The 18,693-nt window shown below is 43.3% G+C and overlaps 1 protein-coding gene across 2 annotated transcripts in view, besides 1 other annotated feature; it reads right to left on the bottom strand.

Annotated features, from left to right (window-relative positions):
• Positions 1–18,693, bottom strand: part of CCDC171 (coiled-coil domain containing 171) — a 556,042-nt gene that overhangs the window by 54,014 nt on the left and 483,335 nt on the right. For both annotated transcript variants that reach the window (XR_007061261.1, XR_001746227.3), the window contains exon 27: positions 11,993–12,115. The gene's annotated coding sequence lies outside the window, so the exon portion shown is untranslated. The remainder of the gene's footprint in view (positions 1–11,992; positions 12,116–18,693) is intronic.
• Positions 18,403–18,658: a silencer, noted in NCBI's record as "fragment chr9:16036253-16036508 (GRCh37/hg19 assembly coordinates)". NCBI's record gives its function as "represses an EF-1alpha promoter that drives an FKBP-Casp9 reporter gene in an ReSE screen in HepG2 liver carcinoma cells {active_cell/tissue: HepG2}" and the evidence as "EXISTENCE:reporter gene assay evidence [ECO:0000049][PMID:32094911]".

The raw sequence follows: 18,693 nt of genomic DNA, 5'->3' as shown, positions 1-18,693 counted from the left end.
CCGCCCTGCGTGTTTGGATATATGTGTGTGGGGAGGGGGTGTCTGGGTTGTCACAACAATGCTCATTGCCTTAGTGCCTGAAGGACTAGTGTCCTAAATGCTCCCCACTAAGAAATATCCCATCCAACATGCCAATAACACTTCCCTGAGAAGCTCTGACCTGCAGTGATCCTTTCAAGACCCAAGCTGCAAGGACTCTCTCCATCAAACAGCTCCCTGGAGGAAATGTTTAAATGGCTTTTTACATTAAAAAATATATTTTTTGAACCTTGAAGCCGGCAGTTTCCATGTTAAGTCCTCCCCCTGGCTCTATTCCAGACAGGTAGGAGGCCTGTCACAGTTAACCACCACTAATCAAGGAATCTCCAGGTCCTAGTGGGGAAGGCAGGGGAGAGGATCTTTAGAGAACAACAACAACAAAGGTGCTTATGGGACTCGCTATGCCTGAAATCTCCCTCCCCATCTAGCTGGTGCCCTCCTACGAGTCCTTGAGAATTCACTCTAACGTTACCTCCTGTGGGAGCCCCACTGACTACTCCATGCAGCTGCGGAAGCCTTTGTGCCATCTCTGGACTTCGTGCACACCCGAATGACAGCCTCTGTCACAATGTAGCAATTATTTATTATGTATCTTTCCCCCTACTAATTAGAGGGTTCCTTGAGGGCAGGATAATGGGTTACCAGGGTGTTCTTCCAGGATCCCTGAATGGGCAACTCCCTTCGCTCCCTCTGGCCATGGTCTAGCTGCTGTCTACAAAGCCCGGACCCCAGAGAAGGACCATATCTTTCCACGCACTCAAATACGTGGCCTCATGAGCCCACTTTTAAAAGGAGCGCTGAACCCGGAAGAAAAGGAAAGATGGTTTCAGAAGGCAGGAAAGAACATCAGCAGGCCAGGCTGCAGGTTCTGGGAACCAAGGCCACCTCCTCTCCCTTTGACAAAGACTGGCTCAGTTCTGAGGCTCGAAGGAGAGTGCTAACGGGGCAAGAACTTGAATGCATCACTGAGGTGACAGGCAGCATGGCCATGAGAAGAGATGTTCAGATTTACTCATCTATGGACCCAAAGCCTTCTAGTGGAATAGTTGTGAAACTGTGCTTTAAAACCCATCACTCTGCAAAGCCTGTGAAATGAAGTGGTGCAGCCCCAGTGAGGGAGACACCATCTTGAGGTGCCAGACTCACATCAGGAGCTTTCTCCGGCCCCACACTGCAGCCTTTGGTGATTCAGCCTTCGTGGCAAATAGCATCTGCTGCCACCATTGATGGAGAGGGGCCGTGCTCAGGAGGCAGGTTGACAGCGGATTGCTTTATGGAGAGGCACGGGAGCAGGAGATGAGAGAAAAGAGGCAATCACTTCTTCACCTATGTGCCATGCACCCTCATATCCTCAAACAAACATTCATCAAGGACAGGAAACTGAGGCGCGGATGGGTCCAGTAACCTGACTAGACACAGAGCATGTAAGTGGCAGGGCTGACATGTGAGCCCTTACTTGCCTGTATCCCCCAGTCCCTTCCCTGTACATGACACCCTCCCACACCAAAAACTCAGGCGAGGCTGCCATGATGCCGGGAGGTGGAAAATGTTGCAAGTTGCATCACAACAGTGCTGGGCGCTGCCCAAGAGTCAGTGGACCTGGACTCTGGTCCACGCTCAAGCTGATGGTTGACCTTGGGCAGGTCCCCTGAGCACTGCAGGTTTCAAGTTCCTCATCTGTCTAGAGTGGAGCTGCCTGTAGATCTCCAATAGGCTTTCTAGCTCAAAAATTCTTTGATCTTAGAAACTTAACACCCATCGGTTAGGATTTGTCCAGCTACAATTCTGAAAAGAATTATTCCTGTGGATATGAGACATGGAATGTTAAGGTTTTGCAAATGTTACCGTTCCAGCAACAATGTATGCATAGAATATTCCTGGCGAGGGAGAGGGATCTTAGGGAAGAGCGGAAGTCCATCTGTCAGCAGTGGACTTAAATGTGGCTGAACGGCGAGCCGGGTGATGGGAAAAGGGAATCTGGAAAGACTCACATTCCGTTTGAAAAGAAAAGGGGTTTTAATGGGACACGCTCACTCACTCTGGATTTTAACAACTTCTCAAAGTGTAATGGGGGGCGGTGGGTTGGGGGAGGAAAGAAAGAGAGTTTGTGGAGTGAACAGAGGGGAAGAAAGAGAAAGTGATAAATACAGGACAAATTCAGAGCTTGAGATCATGGAACAAATCAAATAGAGGGCGGACTCTACAAAAGGCCCCGGGCCCTGGCTGGGGAGGCCCATGATTAACTCTTAAGAATGTTGTTAACACCAGGAAGGAGGTTTAGGAGGCAAATTTTATTTTAAAGCTGGAAAGTTCTAATATATATAATGCAGATCAGTGAGTTACTCTTCCTAGGCCTCAGTTTCCTCATTTCCAGTGTGAAGAGAAGTTTGTGTGGCATAAGAGCTTTGTGAGAATAAAAGGAGGCCGCACATGTGTAACCCAGGGGTATCTTGGGCCTGAGAGTGCTGTCACTCGTTCATGACAGAAAACAGCCCGGATGAGCCACAGTCTCACAGCAGCAGCAGACAGGAAGGCCAGACTGCGTGAGGCCAGCTTTCCACAATGACAGCCCATGATGACGTGCTGGAGAAACAGCAGCAGGGATCACACCAGGACCAAGAGGGCCTCCTCAGAGCCTCCCTCTCTCCCTCCTTCCAGTACTTGGACTGAGACAAAGAATTCAGAAGGATGGAGAGGCTCCAACAGAAGCATGGGGTCCACAACCCCAAAACAAAAGGGGTGATTTGGTTTGGCTGTGTCCCCACCCAAATCTCATCTTGAATTGTAGCTCCTGTAATTCCCACCTGTCGTGGAAGGGACTTGGTGGGAGGTAATTGAATCATGGGGGCAGGTTTTTCTCCTGCTGTTCTCACGATAGTGAACAAGTCTCACGAGATCTGATGGTTTTATAAAGGGGAGTTCTCTCTCTTGCCTGCCACTGTGTAAGACGTGACTTTGCTCCTCATTCGACTTCCTCCATGACTTTGAGGCCTCCCCAGCCATGTGGAACTTTGAGTCCATTAATCCACTTTCCTTTATAAATTACCCAATCTTGGGTATGTCTTTATTAGCAGTAAAAGAACAGACTAATACAGGGGGCTCAAATCAGTTCAGTTAGAAAACTAAGGAGATGTGAAGTCACTTGCATCCTGAGATGATGAGGACAGTGTAGTGGTTAAGAACTCTGGATTCAAATTACTGGGGTTTGATTCCAGATCCATCATGGTGCACTCATGCTGGGTAGCAAGTGAAGTTTAATAAAGGAATTTGTTTTTCAATGGTGTGGACTGGGTTTAGGAAAACAACAAAGGATGGGTCGTACCTCAAAGCTGGCCACAGCAGGGAGTGTTTGGGCCACAACGGTTAAGGAGGGGCTGGCAAGTAGAACCCAGAGAGACAGCTCTCTAAAAACAGAACCAGAGCAAACTTACCCAGGCCTTGGTGACCAGAGGATGAGGGCAGCAGTCAGGGAGAGAGAGGATAGCCTGGGACTCCTCCCAGCACAGGGGGCAAAACCAAGGGCTGGGGACTGCTTGCTATGAAAACACATTGTCCAGACACTGTTTTGGATAAGGAAACTGAGGTCAGAGGGACTAAGTGACATGAATCATTAGAGACACGGATGACAGCAGAACCCAGCAGAGCTTGGGCTATCATCCCCAAAGACACAATCCTGAATGTTGAAATCCTGAAAATATAATTATGGAAAACAATAATTTTATAAATTATTTAAAAAACATTTATTTATGTTTTTAAGGGGAATTTATTTGAGAAACATATAAAAATATGATAAACACTGCATAGGCCACTTTGTACAGTAAAATAGGCAATAAAATATATTTTTGCAAGTATAAACACTCAGGTATACTAACTACAGTCATGAGTATAAAAGTTATGAGCAGATGAACCATATTCATAAAGAGGTCAAAAAGTGACATGTATAAAAGTGCTTCACTATGGTTGGTAATTGTGTGCGTCAGCTTTATAACTGTGGTCATCGGATATACCTGGAAGGACAACCTCAGTCATTTGACAAGATCATTCAAAAACTTTGAGGGGTTACTACCACATATGCAGTAGCTCAAGAGCCCAGATCTTGTGAAATTTTATTTTTCACAAACGCAGATATACAAAAGGGACAGCTCTTTGTTTATTGAGGGAGTTTCAACATTTTTATGGACATGTGCAATGCTCATATACAAAGACAATGTTGTGATAATGCACTTTTGTGGTGTCAAATTTGCAAAAAAGTGCATAAAACGAATTAGAACCCCCTAAAGTTTACATAAGTCATACCTCCAGTATTGGTAATAATGTGAAGGTGAAAAACAGTATGGCAAACTGGCACTGTGTGCACAGGGGCAGAAGTCATACATGATTAAATAATTTGCCAGGAGAGAGTTCTTGTATTGTTCATCTGCATTTTTACCTCTAAGATCTTCAAAATACAATGAGTATTGTATTTGTATTTGGACAGTGATTATGGTCTACAAATTTTGAAAGTATATGCTGTCCATTCACAAACTGGATTATTGCTTGGCGATTGCAATTAAGCAATTTATGCTTTTACAGCACCAGTAATAATTAGCCTTTAAACATTTATCCTTTACCATTAAGTAGCCTCATACACTTGACTTATCAACAATTATACAGATCTTCCATTGTGCTGTAAGAAATACAGTAAGAAAGCCAGGTGCGGTGGCTCATGCCTGTAATCCCAGCACTTTGGGAGGCCAAGGCAGGTGAATCATCAGAGGTCAGGAGATCGAGACCAGCCTGGCCAACATGGCAAAACTCTGTCCCTACTAAAAATACAAAAATTAGCCAGGTGTGGTGGCATGCGCCTGTAATCCCAGCTACTTGGGAGGCTAAGGTGGGAGAATCGCTTGAACTAGGGAGGCAGAGGTTGCAGTGAGCTGAGATTGCACCACTGCACTCCAGCCTGTGTGACAGAGTAAGACTCTGTCAAAATACAAACAAAAAAAACAACAGTAAGAATAATATCTGGCTTCCCTGATATCAAATCTATATTAGTCAGGGTTCTCCAGAGAGACAGAACCAATAGGATATTGATATAGATCTATGAGAGGGGATTTATTGGGGAATTGGCTCACATGATTACGGAGGCTGAAAAACCCCATGACAGGCCATCTGCAAGCTGGAGACCCGGGGATGCTGGTAGTGTGGCTCTGTCCAAACTTGAAAGCCTCAGAATCTAGAAAGCAGATGGTGTATCTCTCAGTCCAAGGTCAAAAGCCTCAGGACCCAGGGTGCTGCTGGTGTAAGTCCTGGAGCCCAAAGACCGGCTACCCTGAAGTTCTGATATCCAAGGCAGCAGCAGAAAAGCCCATGCCAGCTTCAGAGAAAGACCAGTTTGCCTTCTGTGTTTGTTCTCTTTAGGCTCCTGGCTGATTAGATGGTGCCTGCCAGCATTGAGGGCAGATCTTCCCTGCCTAATTCATTCAGACTCACACACTAATCTCTGGAAACATCCTCACAGACACACCCAAAATAATGCTTTACCAGGTTTTTAGGTATTCCTTAATTCAGTCAAATTGACACCTAAAATTAAGTCCACAATTCTACCCCTCATCCACTTGGCACCCACACACATCTCTGTAAGCCATACTTCATTTCCAAATAAAGACAATAACAAGGTAATTGTTCTGCCTAATATGATGCAACTGACACAATGCAGTAATCCTGCATGCAACTGAAAATATACTAATCCCCTCCCTAGAATTCGGCTTTCAGGATTTCAACATTCAGGATTTTAATCTGTTGGGATTGCGATTTTCTGAATGTAGACATTAGGGATTTTAGATGTTAAGGATTTTAGACTTTAGGGATTGTAATTTTTAGGGATTTTGATCTTTTGGGATTTCAACATTTGGGATTATGGTGTTTGGGTTTTTTTTTTTTTTGTCTTTCTATATTATGATTGGCACCAAACTCATCACTTCTGTCTCTCAGCCTATTGTGTGGTCTAAATGCCTCCCTGAAACCCTTGTTAATACTGCCTGTCCACAGCGTTTACTACGTGCGAGGTACTGTTCTAATAACTCATTTAAATTCCCACAATAACTCTTTAAGGTGGATGCTACTATGATATTATCCCCACTTTACAGATGACAGAGCAGAGGCATAAAGAGATTAAAGCCGGGTGTTCTGCCTATTTCTTTATTTCTTTACTTTCAAAAAAAAGAAAAAGAAAAAAGAGAGAGAGATAAAGCCACTCACCTAAAGTTACACTGGCTACTAAATGGCAATGGCAGAACTGAGGTTCTAATCCTGAAAATTTTGCCCCCAAATCTGTGGTCTTAATCTCTAAAAGATAAGGGGCACAGGAGGACCCTGAAAGAAACTGAGGGGGGTTGTCACTGTTACTGAAGTACCAGGGCCCAACGTCACTAATTTGTAATGTGGCATTGGCTGGCCCCACTTCACCTGGTGCCTCCAGCTCACTCTTCAAGATGGGACCTTCCAAGGCAACCTGCCATCCTCCCTCCCTCAGCCAGCTCCCTCCTCAGAGAGAGGCCCATCAGTCTGCACCTTTCCTGTCCAGCCCTACTGCCATGCAGAGTGCCATCTGTACACAACTAAGAGCTCTACACGTTTCCCACGAGTTCAGCCATCAGGGAGAATGGTACTGGGAACATGTTAGACCTCTTAAATTTGCTCCAAAGGAAGCTCAAGGGACTGAGTAGCGAATTCTTACAGAGGACGCAGCTCAAGCTTGGCAGCCAATGTCAAAACTTGACAAGTCACTTGGTGCTTTGACTCAAAACCCTTCTTCCTCTGCCTGTGCATTTCCACTGAGGGCCATCCCTTTGAGCCAACTTGCCACTGCAGGCAATGTGTTCATCCTTCCTCTGTCCCCACTCCCTACCTCTCTGAGAGCCATCGGTTCTGTGTCAGATGAGGAAGCAAAGATGAAGAAATGAGAGGATGTGCAGAGGCAGAGCTCTTCCATGAGTGTCCCCTTACCTCACACCCATCACAACCTGGAAGCCAGGCAACAATGATGATCGAGAATATTTATTGATCTCTTAATATGGGCCAGGCACTCTTAAAAGTGCTTTTTATAGATTACGTGAATACTGTGGTTGATCCCTATTCTACAATTGAGGAAGCAGACGTTGAGAGAGGATTAGTCATTTACCCAAGGTACCAGGATTCAAATCCACGTGCTCCTGACTCTTACCCACTTCCCAGGTAACAAAGGACTTTGTGTGTCTGGCTAAACTACTGGATTTCATCCTGAAAACTGTGAGATTTTAAAAACCTTCAAATAGAATTTGGTGATGGTCATATATCTTTAAGAAAGAATGGCCACAGGTAGAAAATTAGGAGGGCTTTAGAGACAGGGGGACCACCTGGAGGCTGCAGTGATAATCGAGGAATGACTCCCAAAGGCACCTGTACTAAAGTAGTGGCAGGAGGTAGTGAAGAGGACACAGACCTAGGAGATGCTGGAGGTAGAACGAGGCTTATTAGGCAGGGGTGGGTGAAAGGCAGGTGGTTAGGATCGCTCCCAGATTTCTGGCTTGGGCAGCTGCATAGATAGATGGACCATCAACTGGAAAGAGACCAGGGAGGGCACAGATTTAAGGGCACTTGGAGGGAGATTACTGGGTTCTGTTTGGGACATGTTGAGTTCAAGGTACCCAGAAGACATTTGGATGAAAATGCCACCCCCACTCACCACCCTAAAGGGTCTGAGCTGGAGATCAGACTTGAAAGCTGCCATTCTTAAATTCAGGAACTAAATATACTGCAGTTTAAGAGGTCACCCAGGGAAACTGTGGTAAGTGATGAAATAAGTAGGCCAAGGATGCAGTCCTTAGAGTCCATGCTTACTAGAAAGCAGTAGGAGAAGACCCAGCTACGGGGACTTGAGGGGAATGGTCAGAGTGAAGGGAGGGAAGGAGAGTGAGATGCCTGGGGAACGACTGAAGGTTATTTCCAGAAGGGAGTGGTTTACTGTGTGTATTAGTCTGTTCTCACGCTGCTGATAAAGACATACCCAAGGCTGAGTAATTTGTAAAGAAAAAGGTTTAATGGACTCACAGCTCCACGTGGCTGGGGAGGCCTCATAATCATGGTGGAAGGTGAAAGGCACATCTTACATGGCGGCACACAAGCAAGAATGAGAGAGCCAAGTGAAAGGGAAACCCCTTATAAAACCATCAGATCTCATGAGACTTATTCACTACCATGAGGACAGTATGGGAGAAACCACCCCCATGATTCAATTATCTCCCACCCGGTCCCTCCCATAACACATGGGAATTATGGGAGCTACAATTCAAGATGAGATTTGGGTGGGGACACAGATCCAAACCATATCACTGTGTCAAATGTCAAGGTCTAGTTGAGGGAAAAATATGTCCACTGAATTTGGCTATTTTGAGAACTTTTGCCAGAGCTTTTCCAAAATACTATCAGTGGCACATGGAAGAAAAGAGATTGCCCTGCAGGTGCTCTGGGTGGAACACAACCACAGCTCTGCAGACCCAAGTCTCTGGTTTGGGCCTCAAAAAGCCTGGCAGCCACTGCCTACTCTAATGCACCCTGCTCCTCTGAAACCCTCAGTTCCCACACTCCGGACCCCATTTTACTTCTCGATTGGTTTCTTCAGCATCCATCCATGTGTTGGAGCCTCCTGAAAATATTCCTCTTTCTAAAGCATTCTGCCCTCACACTCACCAACCCATAGTGAACACAGAAAATCCATGCCCTTTATTAGATGCAAGGAGAGCTGAATTCAAATCTGGACTTTGCCCTCAATAACTGTGTCTATGGGAGTGACCTAACCAGTGTGTAAAATAGGTTAATAAGACTTCTGTCACAGGGCTGATTTGAGGAATTAATGAGATAGCCCATAAGGAAATTGCCTCCCTCCTAATAGGCTCAAGAAATGTTGTTTTCCTTTAGCTTATATTCTCTCCAGGCTCTGAGAATGTGTATATCCCAGGGAAGTAGAGCCTGGGTTTATCTAACCTTTTCTTAGAGAGGATTTTATGGGGGTGAAGGATGAGAGATCACCAGGTTAATGGGAGCTTGCAGAGTTAGAAAAGAGTCACCAAAAACAAATATTTTCATTGGTTTTATGTTAGGTAGGCCTGCCTCATCCCAGCAGCTGTCTGCTGAGTGACAGGCAGTTCTATTCACTCCTCAGCCTCCCCAAGTGCTGCTCTGGCTCTAGAAGAGAATGCAGTGGACACTCCAGGGCTCACCATGGCCTTTACCATCTCAGAGCATGGTGGCCAGACTACCCATGGCCAGAGTTGCTGTGGCTCCTGTGGTTCTAAACCATGGGGAGTTTTGTCCCCCTGGGAGTACTAGGCAATGTCTGGAGACATTCTTGATTGTTACAACCCATGACAATAAGCCGTGAAGGAAGGAGTGCTACCAGCACCTAGCAGGTAGAGGTCAGGGCTGCTGTAAGCCTCCTGTAATTCACAAGACAGCCCCCATAACAAGGAATCATCAGCTCAAAATGTCAACAGTGCTGAGGTTGACAAGCCTCCTGGGCTGTGTTAAGATCCAGTTGTCCACAGTGGCCACCACCTTGACGAGGTTCCCTTTGGTGGCCTCCTTCCCTTCCCTGTCTCATTTCTCCACTCCTCTCCTAGGATCTCCTGGGATTCCTCCCCATTGCGCCACTGCACTCAAATCATTGTCTCAGGGTGTGCTTCTGGGGACCCCCAAACAAGAATTGCATTGGGCTATTTCTGGTCTGAGTAAGGTGGAATTTATTCCTATACCCACTAGAAGAAGCACTCTCCACCACAAGGAAAAAATATGCTTTTTACATATTTACAAAGCAAAGGTACAAGTCCCAATGAATATAAGACAAGCAGTAACCTCTTAAGACACACTATAGGTAACGCTAAAAAGAGCAGAGACCAGATTGGGCAGAATCAATCTCAGCATGTGTCCTTGAGAAGAGTTTGAAGCCAAGCTCAAAGCAAGGAGTGGGGCAAATTGGCAACAAGAAGGAGAAAGGGCTTTTGGAGAAGATTCAGCCCAGATTCCAACCCCAGGCTGCAATACCCTGGGCTTCTTTCCCTTCCAAGGCAGAGTTCATGGGGCATCATGGGAATTGTAAAAACAATTCTGGAGCATTGCAGGGAGTGCATGAGGCCCAGAGCGTCCTCCTCCCTGTGCACTTCCTCTTTGTGGGAGGGAACAAAATGGCTGCAAATGTCTCCAATGTGAAGGGAAATTTTTGCCTGTGTCACGGCCAGGGGATTACATCTGCCTACAGTTACAGGATGTATCACTTGCAGAGAATTCCTTCCACAACATACTCAAAGAACCAAAAAAAAAAAAAAATTATTAAATAGCTGGCTATATTTGATCTATATTTTTCATTCTTTTTTTTTCTCCTGTGGTTTTTCACCAAAGTCCACTTTGACAAGCCATTAAAAGAAAACCCTATGTATATGAGCAATGGATGTAAAAAGAAAAAAAACCTAGTATATCAAACAACCCAACGTATACAATTTGGAAGAAGTAACCGGATCCTCTCCTCTGACAGGCTGTAAACTGGGCTAGGGAGGGACATTGTTTTTCTTTTGGTCATTCTGCCAAGTTAAAAAGGAAGTTGGAGATTAGAACAAAATATTTAAATCAAAAATGAATCCTTCAATGAAAGTTGCTTGATCCCCTTCACTACCACCCCCAGCCTCCCTTCCCCCTTATTGGAAGCATATTTCTCTTTGAAAAGAAGTAGTGTATTGTTGCTGAATAGAAGGGGGACAGCCCATTGGGGAGACACATCGATCTCATCATTTTAAAAGTGAGAGATAAATGACCGAAGGCCTCTTCCCAATCAAATGCTGTTTCTGCACATTCTCAGAATGAATGGCACTGTTTTCCCTGGTGACTGCTGAGCTCTCTCTCCTTGGCTAGGTTTGCCTATGCTAACCATGCATTCCAGACCCTGGAACAAGGGTAACTGCAACTCAAATGGACGTATCTGTGATGCCAGGGCACTGAATTTTTCTTTGAAACCCAAACAAGATCTTGACTCATCCTAAGGGCCCTGTAGTAAGATTCAGTACTTTGATTTTTTGAAATCTCTCTCAAATTTACTATGAGATGGACAGATAGCTTAGGTTCCACAAGCACTATTGTAGGAAAAGGTCCAAGAAAGTAGTAAGGAACAAAGCCACATCTGATATCTACAGATCTCCTCCAGCACTGGGACTTACTAGTCTCTCCTCAAAAGGATTCCCTTTGGTCTTTGAAGTGGCACAGGTAAATGTGGCCCTTTTGGTGCTGAGCCCACTTCATGCAGGTGTAAAAGAACCATGGAAAACAAATATTGTGGTGGGGCTTTTGGACACATTTTTATTTCTGAGAATGGTTTTACGAAATCTGCTTCATAACTGGCCTGGTTCTACATGTTTCAGTACTCATCCCCAAGATTCTGTTTTCTTACAAAACTAATTTATCTATAACTTTTCAACACCCCAAATAAATGTTGGTAATGTAGCTCCCTAATACAAATGATAGTCATAATAAATTAACAACAGTCATCCAAGATATAAGAACAAGGATACACTAATGGCATTAACACACAAAAATATATAATAAAAATTTTACTCTCCAGAGGCAAGAAAGAGTTGTATTACACAATGGATTTTACAATAAACATTTGCAAATAATATATACTATGATAGTGAACAATTATATAGAACCCATATATATCTGCTTTTTTTCCCCAACCTCTCTGGCTTCAGCATCCTTGGACCTTGCATATTTCAATGCTGACTTGGGCTCATCACACTTTCCTGGCTTAACACTCATCTGATACCTGGGCAAGCCACCTGGAAGCCTGGCACTCCCCACTGCAAGCACTAAATATTTTAGAAGGAGATTTTAAAGCAGGAAAATAGCATCATCTCAAATGATCCTTGATAGGCCTACAAAGGGCACCTACCAGTGGCCGCCTTGTCCTTGGTGCACTTGCTCACCTACAGCGTGTCCCCAGCAGAAGGAAGCATTCAGTTTATCTGGTGTGCGTGTACATGTGTGTTTATTTTCCCTCATCTTCTTTAATGAACTATTAGAAATGAAAACAAAAAAAAGAGTTATTTTCCAAGAGACTTTTCCTTAGAGTCTCTCTTTTGTTCCTGGACATAAACTCCATCACCACCCTCACCCCTAGAGAAACTGCAGGTCCCCATATCATTGCTAGCTTGACAGTTCTTGATGGCACTCATTCAAAAAATCTGTATTGAACTCAAATGTGCCCCAGAGACTGAGCTAGATGCTTTGTCCAGTCTTCTCATTTAATCCTCTTAACACTTTGTCCTCAGGGGTTATAATTCACTTTATTTAGCACAGGAAGAAGCTGAGGCTCAGAAAAATCAAGTGATTTCCTCGAGGTCCCTGGGGAGCAAAACGCCTTCAATCATTGAGTCTTTCCTGAAGCTGGTCCTACCCAGAAGCCCTCCCTGCCACCTGGCCTCAAGAGGCTGCCTATTAGGTTGATGGGGCCCTCTTCTCTCAGGCCAGAATCCTCATGATCCTCTTCATAAGGGCTTTCTCTTTCATGCCTCATTCCCAGTTGTCTTATTATCATCTCACACCTGCCTGGCTGCAAAAGGCTCTCTGGTCTAATTTGGTTGCCTCCTTGACTATATGTCTGCGCTCTAATCCACTGGAGCCCGCCCACTGCCAGCTTACTATTCCAGAGAGGCTGCCTGGATACCACTAGCTTCGCAAGAGTCTTGCTCCACGACGAACTAGCTGACTGAGTCTGGGAAAGTCATTAAAACTCCCTGGCAGTTTCTTTGCAGTTATAATATGCACAATAATTTCAGCTTTATCTCTGAAAGAAAACTAAAATGAAGATTGAATGAGACTCAGAAAGCGGGCTTTGGGGAACATCATTCCCATACCAGATTTTATCTCCAAAATGCCCCCAAAATGCACATTTTCATCTAAACTTGCTCAGAATATGGTGTTTCTGGATCTGAATCCAATGCCAAATTTTTTCTCCAAAATTTCCTCCTGTGCCCACAAAGAATGAAGGTTGGTCATTCAACTTTTCCCTGCAAAACCTGAGTTCATAATTTGTGTTCCAGAAGGTGTGGCCAAGAACTATATTCAATATTAAACTCTGTATTTCTCATTTACGAAATCACCAATAAGGAAATTTCGATAAGCCCTCTTATTTTCAATATCCAAACATCATATTTAATTAATCCAATCCTAGTTTTCTGGGTTAAGTGATATTCACTAAGGTAGGCTAAAAGAAAAAATAATAACATTTCAGAAATATAAATTATTGGAAATCCTGAACCTCAGACACCTGGTTCAGATCAAAATAAGTACTAAAAAATCTTCATTGCCCTCCCTTTACCATGAAACAAAAACCCCAGCTTCTTCGCCTGACTTCTACAGAACATTCCCAGCCTCAGTCTATCTTTCCCACCTAAACTTCCTTTTCTCCTGCATGAGCCATTTGCTCTAGACACCAGATTATTTGCTGTCTTCTAAAAGCTCCTTCATTTTATTTCCTCTGCATTTTCTCTCAGGCCTTTTCCCTGCTCCCAAATGCCTCCCTGCTCCCACTGACCTAGTTGGCCAAATCCGACTAGCTGAAACCTCCACTTCTTCCATGAAATCTGTCCTGAACACACCAATCTGAACAGATTTCTCCTTCCTCTGAGCCCCTGTGGCAAAGGAAGCCCATGTGCTTACTCACCTAGTGCTGCCTTCTGCTACTTTGCCCAGTGTCATCTTGAACTTTCATTAAACATCTTTCCTTGTCATATTTTAATGTTGGGCACCCAATTCTGTCTTTATACCCTAGAGTTAGCTACACACACAGTAGCTGCTCATTAAGAACTTGATGCTTAGATTTGACCCACACGCTTGCAAACACCTCTCCTCAAAAGAAATATTTCTTATGTATAAAGCAAGGGAACTGTAGAAATTCACCCCATCAAATATTTTTGGCTGAAAAAAAAAGAGAGAGTATCTTTGCAGAGTCTCAACAGAAACTATGCATGTGAATGTGTGTTTGGGGTACAGAAGTAGAGAGAAGCTTGTTAATTTTAAAGCCACATAGCATGTTTGGCTAAGACTGTTACTCCATTTGTGTATTTCAACCACGTAAAATACACCCTGGGATTCTGGACTGAGAGAAATAGCCATATAAGGAGAAAACAAGGCATTCCCTATAGCTGCTCTTGTAAAACACTCTATGATTTAACCCTCTGCTCGGACAGATCCAAGCTCCTGCACTTTACAACTGCAAACAATCAAATTCCTGGGAGGAGCTCAGCGTGTGACCTGCACCACTGGGCACAAACAATCACAAACAAAACCTGACAGGTCACCTATGGGGCAGCATGACCAAAGCTTCGCAGCCGCCTGCCTTTCTCTCTGCGGTGGGCCGTCCCAGCTGGAGCAGGCACTGAGATGAGCTCCAGCCCAGAGACAACTCTGAGGGCTCATTAATCCCTTTCCTTCAAGAACTCAGGAATCTGAGGTCTGCCTCCACCTTCTAGATGACAGTCCATCAATCTGCAGAATCCCTTCACTGGGGAGGTGTGGGAGGGAGAAGTGGGGGGATCAAGATAAGGAAAGAGGGGCTCCAGGAACAGAGGCAGGACTGGGCAAAGCGTTGGCCAGCCTCCAACACGATGCCTGTGGCTCTCTGGTGGAGTATGCGTCTGGCTAGGGGCCTCTGTGCTATGCAGAGGAGGGACTGTGGAGTGAGGGGGTAACAGGGCACCCAGCTGGCCCTCACCTTCCCTCCCTTCATCTTGATTGCCATTAACAACAACTCTGTGAGGTGCAGTTTTCTAGATGATGAAACTGAGATTCTGAAAGGTTCCAGTGTCCCTCACATGTAATGAGTAGGCGATGATTAGAAATAAGCTTGTATGCTGTGGCAGACACTGCTCATTTTCTTCTGTTATCCGGTCCAATCTCCTTCCTTCTGGCAATAGAATGAACACAACTCCACCTCCACCCCCCACCCCATTACACACACACACAGAAGCAAGGAAGATGGCTGCCTGGCTGGAGATGGTATTTCCCAGACACCCACGTAGCTCAAGGGGGGCCATGTGACTGAGTGATGATTTCCAAGAAGAGGGACATGAGTAGGAGTAATGTGTGCAAATTCTGGGTCACATCTTTTTAAAGTAGCTGCTTGCCTTTCCCATGGGCTGGGACGCAGATGTAAGAATGAGGAAGAGGACAACCTTAGGGGCTACTGGAGTAGCACAGCAGAAGGAGGCTAGACGAGTTTATGGAACAGCGCCACCTACCTTCCTGGGGCTACCGACCTGCAGGGAAATTAGACTGTTCCGTGAGGAGAAATAATCAGCCTCCTCTGAGCCACTGTATTCTTCCATGTCTTTGTGACAGCCATTTAGCCTACATTCTAACTAACGCATGTGACTTTCTGCAGCCTCAGCTGTGTGTAAAGAATCTTGAGGCCACAATAGCTTGCACTAACTTAAAACGCAGAAGGAAAAAAATCGTAGCCAAGTTACATAACAGCAGTACTCACATGCCAAAATCACCCCCTCCCTGAGTCAAGGCTGGAATAGGGGCCTCAGCCACATGAGGGAGTCCTGCACAGGTGACAGCAAAGGTCAGAGAATCCTGCTCTCTCCTCCCCATAGGAGTTTACTACGGAAAATTTGCCTAAGAAGGACCCTGAACCTCATTGAGCTGGAACCAGAAGCACTATTTGGACAACTCTCATTATCATTCCCAAAATGACTTGTTGAAAAGTCTTCCTCACTAATTTTTAAAGTCAGCTTTACTTCCCTGAGACAGATGTGTTAAAACATCTACTATGATTATAATTTCACAGTTCCTCTTGGGACTTCAAGTTTTGAGACTATCATATTATATATATACTAAAAGTGTTACATTTTGTATAACAACCTTTATCAGTAATCATAAATTTCGCCCTTTAGTCTGGCATAAGTGTAACTATATTCAGCTTTTTTTTTTTTTTTTTTGGCCTGATAGGTCTTTTTCTATTTTTTTTTCTGTTTTTGTTCTTTTCTTTGCCCTCATATTTTCTCTTATAAAACCACATAGATTTTAATTTTTTCATCCAAGTTAACAATCTCTGTGTTTTAACAGATACATTTAGTTCATTAACATTTTTTAGGGTTTATTTCTGCCATCTTAGTTTGAGCTTTGTGTTTACTTTGCTATATATGATCTTTGCTTTCTTTTTTCCAAACTTTTAGTGGGATTGATTCTGATTTCTTTATTTCCTCTTTTCCTGTTCTACTGATTTGGTAATTATCAGTCTTATTTGTATTTCTGTATATACATACAGATGTTTTAGATGTTACCCTTACATTTTTAACACACATACTTGACTTTGAAAAGTACAAAATGTCATTTCTACTTACCTATCAATCTTCAGAGCTCCAAACATCTCCCACCCATTTTATCTATTATTGTTGTCAAATATATTATTTTCACTTTTATACCCTTAAAATCTGTCAAGATTATTAACTTCTACAGACAATGCTTGTTTAAATTTAACTTCCCCTCTTAGAGCTCATCCCTTCCTTTCTAGTTCAATTTTCTTCTACTTGAAATAAATCCCTTAGCAACTACTTTACATTTTTGGTGACCAAAACCAAACAAAACTTTAATTTTATATGTGTTGTTGAGTAATAGTTTAGCTGGCTATATAATTGCAAACCGATAGTGATTTTTCCTAGTGCTTTGGGTATGTCATCTTCTTGACTTTTAATATCTGTTGTTGCTGTCAAGAAATCTGCTGCCTAATTATATTTCCTACAAAAAAAATCTTCATTGCTTTAAGAACTTTTTGGCATCAGTATTTTGCAATTTCATTATAGTGGACTTGAAGTTTGAATTCACACTTACTTATTCAGCTCATGACTTACTGTACTTCCTGAATCTTATGATATTTATCTTTTAGACATTGTAAAAAAATTCTCAGTCTTTTTTCTCTCTGAATATTTCTTCTCCTTCATTTTCTATTTCTACTTCTAAACGCTTATTCTCATTCTTTCCTCCATATCTTTAGTTACTCCCTCACATGTTTACGTTTTTGTGATGCATTCTGAATTGGAATTAAATCTCTTCCAGTTTACTACTTTTTTCTTTAACCATATCTAATCTGTTAAAATTGATGACAATATTTATTACTTTTAGAAGTTTCATTTGTTTCTTTTTAAAATCTCTATTTTATTTTTTCATGGTACCTTATATATTGTCATAATTTATTATGTTTTCAATTCCTAATTTTATGCTTTGAATCATTTTTAAACCTACTTATAGTCTTTATGTAATACATTTATTATCTGAAGTGCCTGGGGATCTGATCTCGCTCTGTATTCTATCCACTGGTTCTCTCTCATGGGAAACCATTTCCTAATATTCTTCATAATTTTGGAAGCTGAGATCATCTTCAGTGGAGCTTTCTCTATTCAGGGGATCTTGTGTGGTCTGGGTTGAGGACGTGACCTCACAACCAGGAGAGTTTTGTGCCTGGTTCATGATTGCATGGCATCATGGCCTAGAATCACATTTATTCATCCATGTATTTATTTTTAGACATGTGATAATTGTACATATTTATTGGGTACAGAGTGGCATTTTCATATATGTGTACAATATGTAATGATCAATTCAGGGTAAATAGAATATTCATCACCTCAAACACATCATTTCTCTGTGTTGAGAACATTCAAAATCCTCTCTTCTAGCTATTTGAAAAATATACAATAAATTATTAACTATGGTTATCCTACAATGCTATAGAACATTAGAACTTATTCTTCTATCTAGCTGTAATTTTGTATCCGTAACCATCATTTCCTCTTCATACCCCTTCCTAGCATTCTACTCTTTACTTCTATGAGCACAACTTTTTCAGCTCCCACAAATGAAAACATGCAGTATTTGTCTTTCTGTGCCTGACTTATCTCACTTAACATCATGTCCCCCAGGCTCATTCATGTTGCTGTGAATGACAGGATTTCATTCTTTTTTATGGCTGAATAGTATAGAATCACATGTTTATGTCAATATCTCATCTCAGATATTCCTAGACCACATCTATAGTGTAAATTCAAACCTCAAACCCAAGTAAGGCATTGGATTCTTGGTTCAGAATTCTTGATTGACAACTGAGAGAATTTTTGGTGCTAGTTAAGATAGGTAAATTTGTTTTTTGCTTGTTTGTTTGTTTTGAGACGGAGTCTCGCTCTGTGGCCCAGGCTGGAGTGCAGTGGCGCGATCTCCACTCACTGAAAGCTCCACCTCCCGGGTTCACGCCATTCTCCTGCCTCAGCCTCCTGAGTAGCTGGGACTACAGGCACCTGCCACCACGCCCAGCTAATTTTTTGTATTTTTAGGAGAGACGGGGTTTCACCATGTTAGCTAGGATGGTCTTGATCTCCTGACCTCGAGATCCGCCTGCCTTGGCCTCCCAAATTGCCGGGATTACAGGCGTGAGCCACCGTGCCCGGCCAAGAAATTTCTTTTTTGTCTCTCTGTGCTGATGGCTTTTTGGGCTGTTCTTGGGCCATCATGGAAACCACAAAATGTAGGTCTCAGCATTCACAAATACTTGCCTTTCCAATTCACGTTCCCAAGACAACTAATGTAGTTTCT

This window comes from Homo sapiens, chromosome 9, assembly GCF_000001405.40.
Source record: "Homo sapiens chromosome 9, GRCh38.p14 Primary Assembly".
Lineage (NCBI taxonomy): Eukaryota > Metazoa > Chordata > Mammalia > Primates > Hominidae > Homo > Homo sapiens.
Note: the sequence above shows the minus strand (reverse complement) of the source record. Positions and strands in the feature narration are given on the sequence as shown.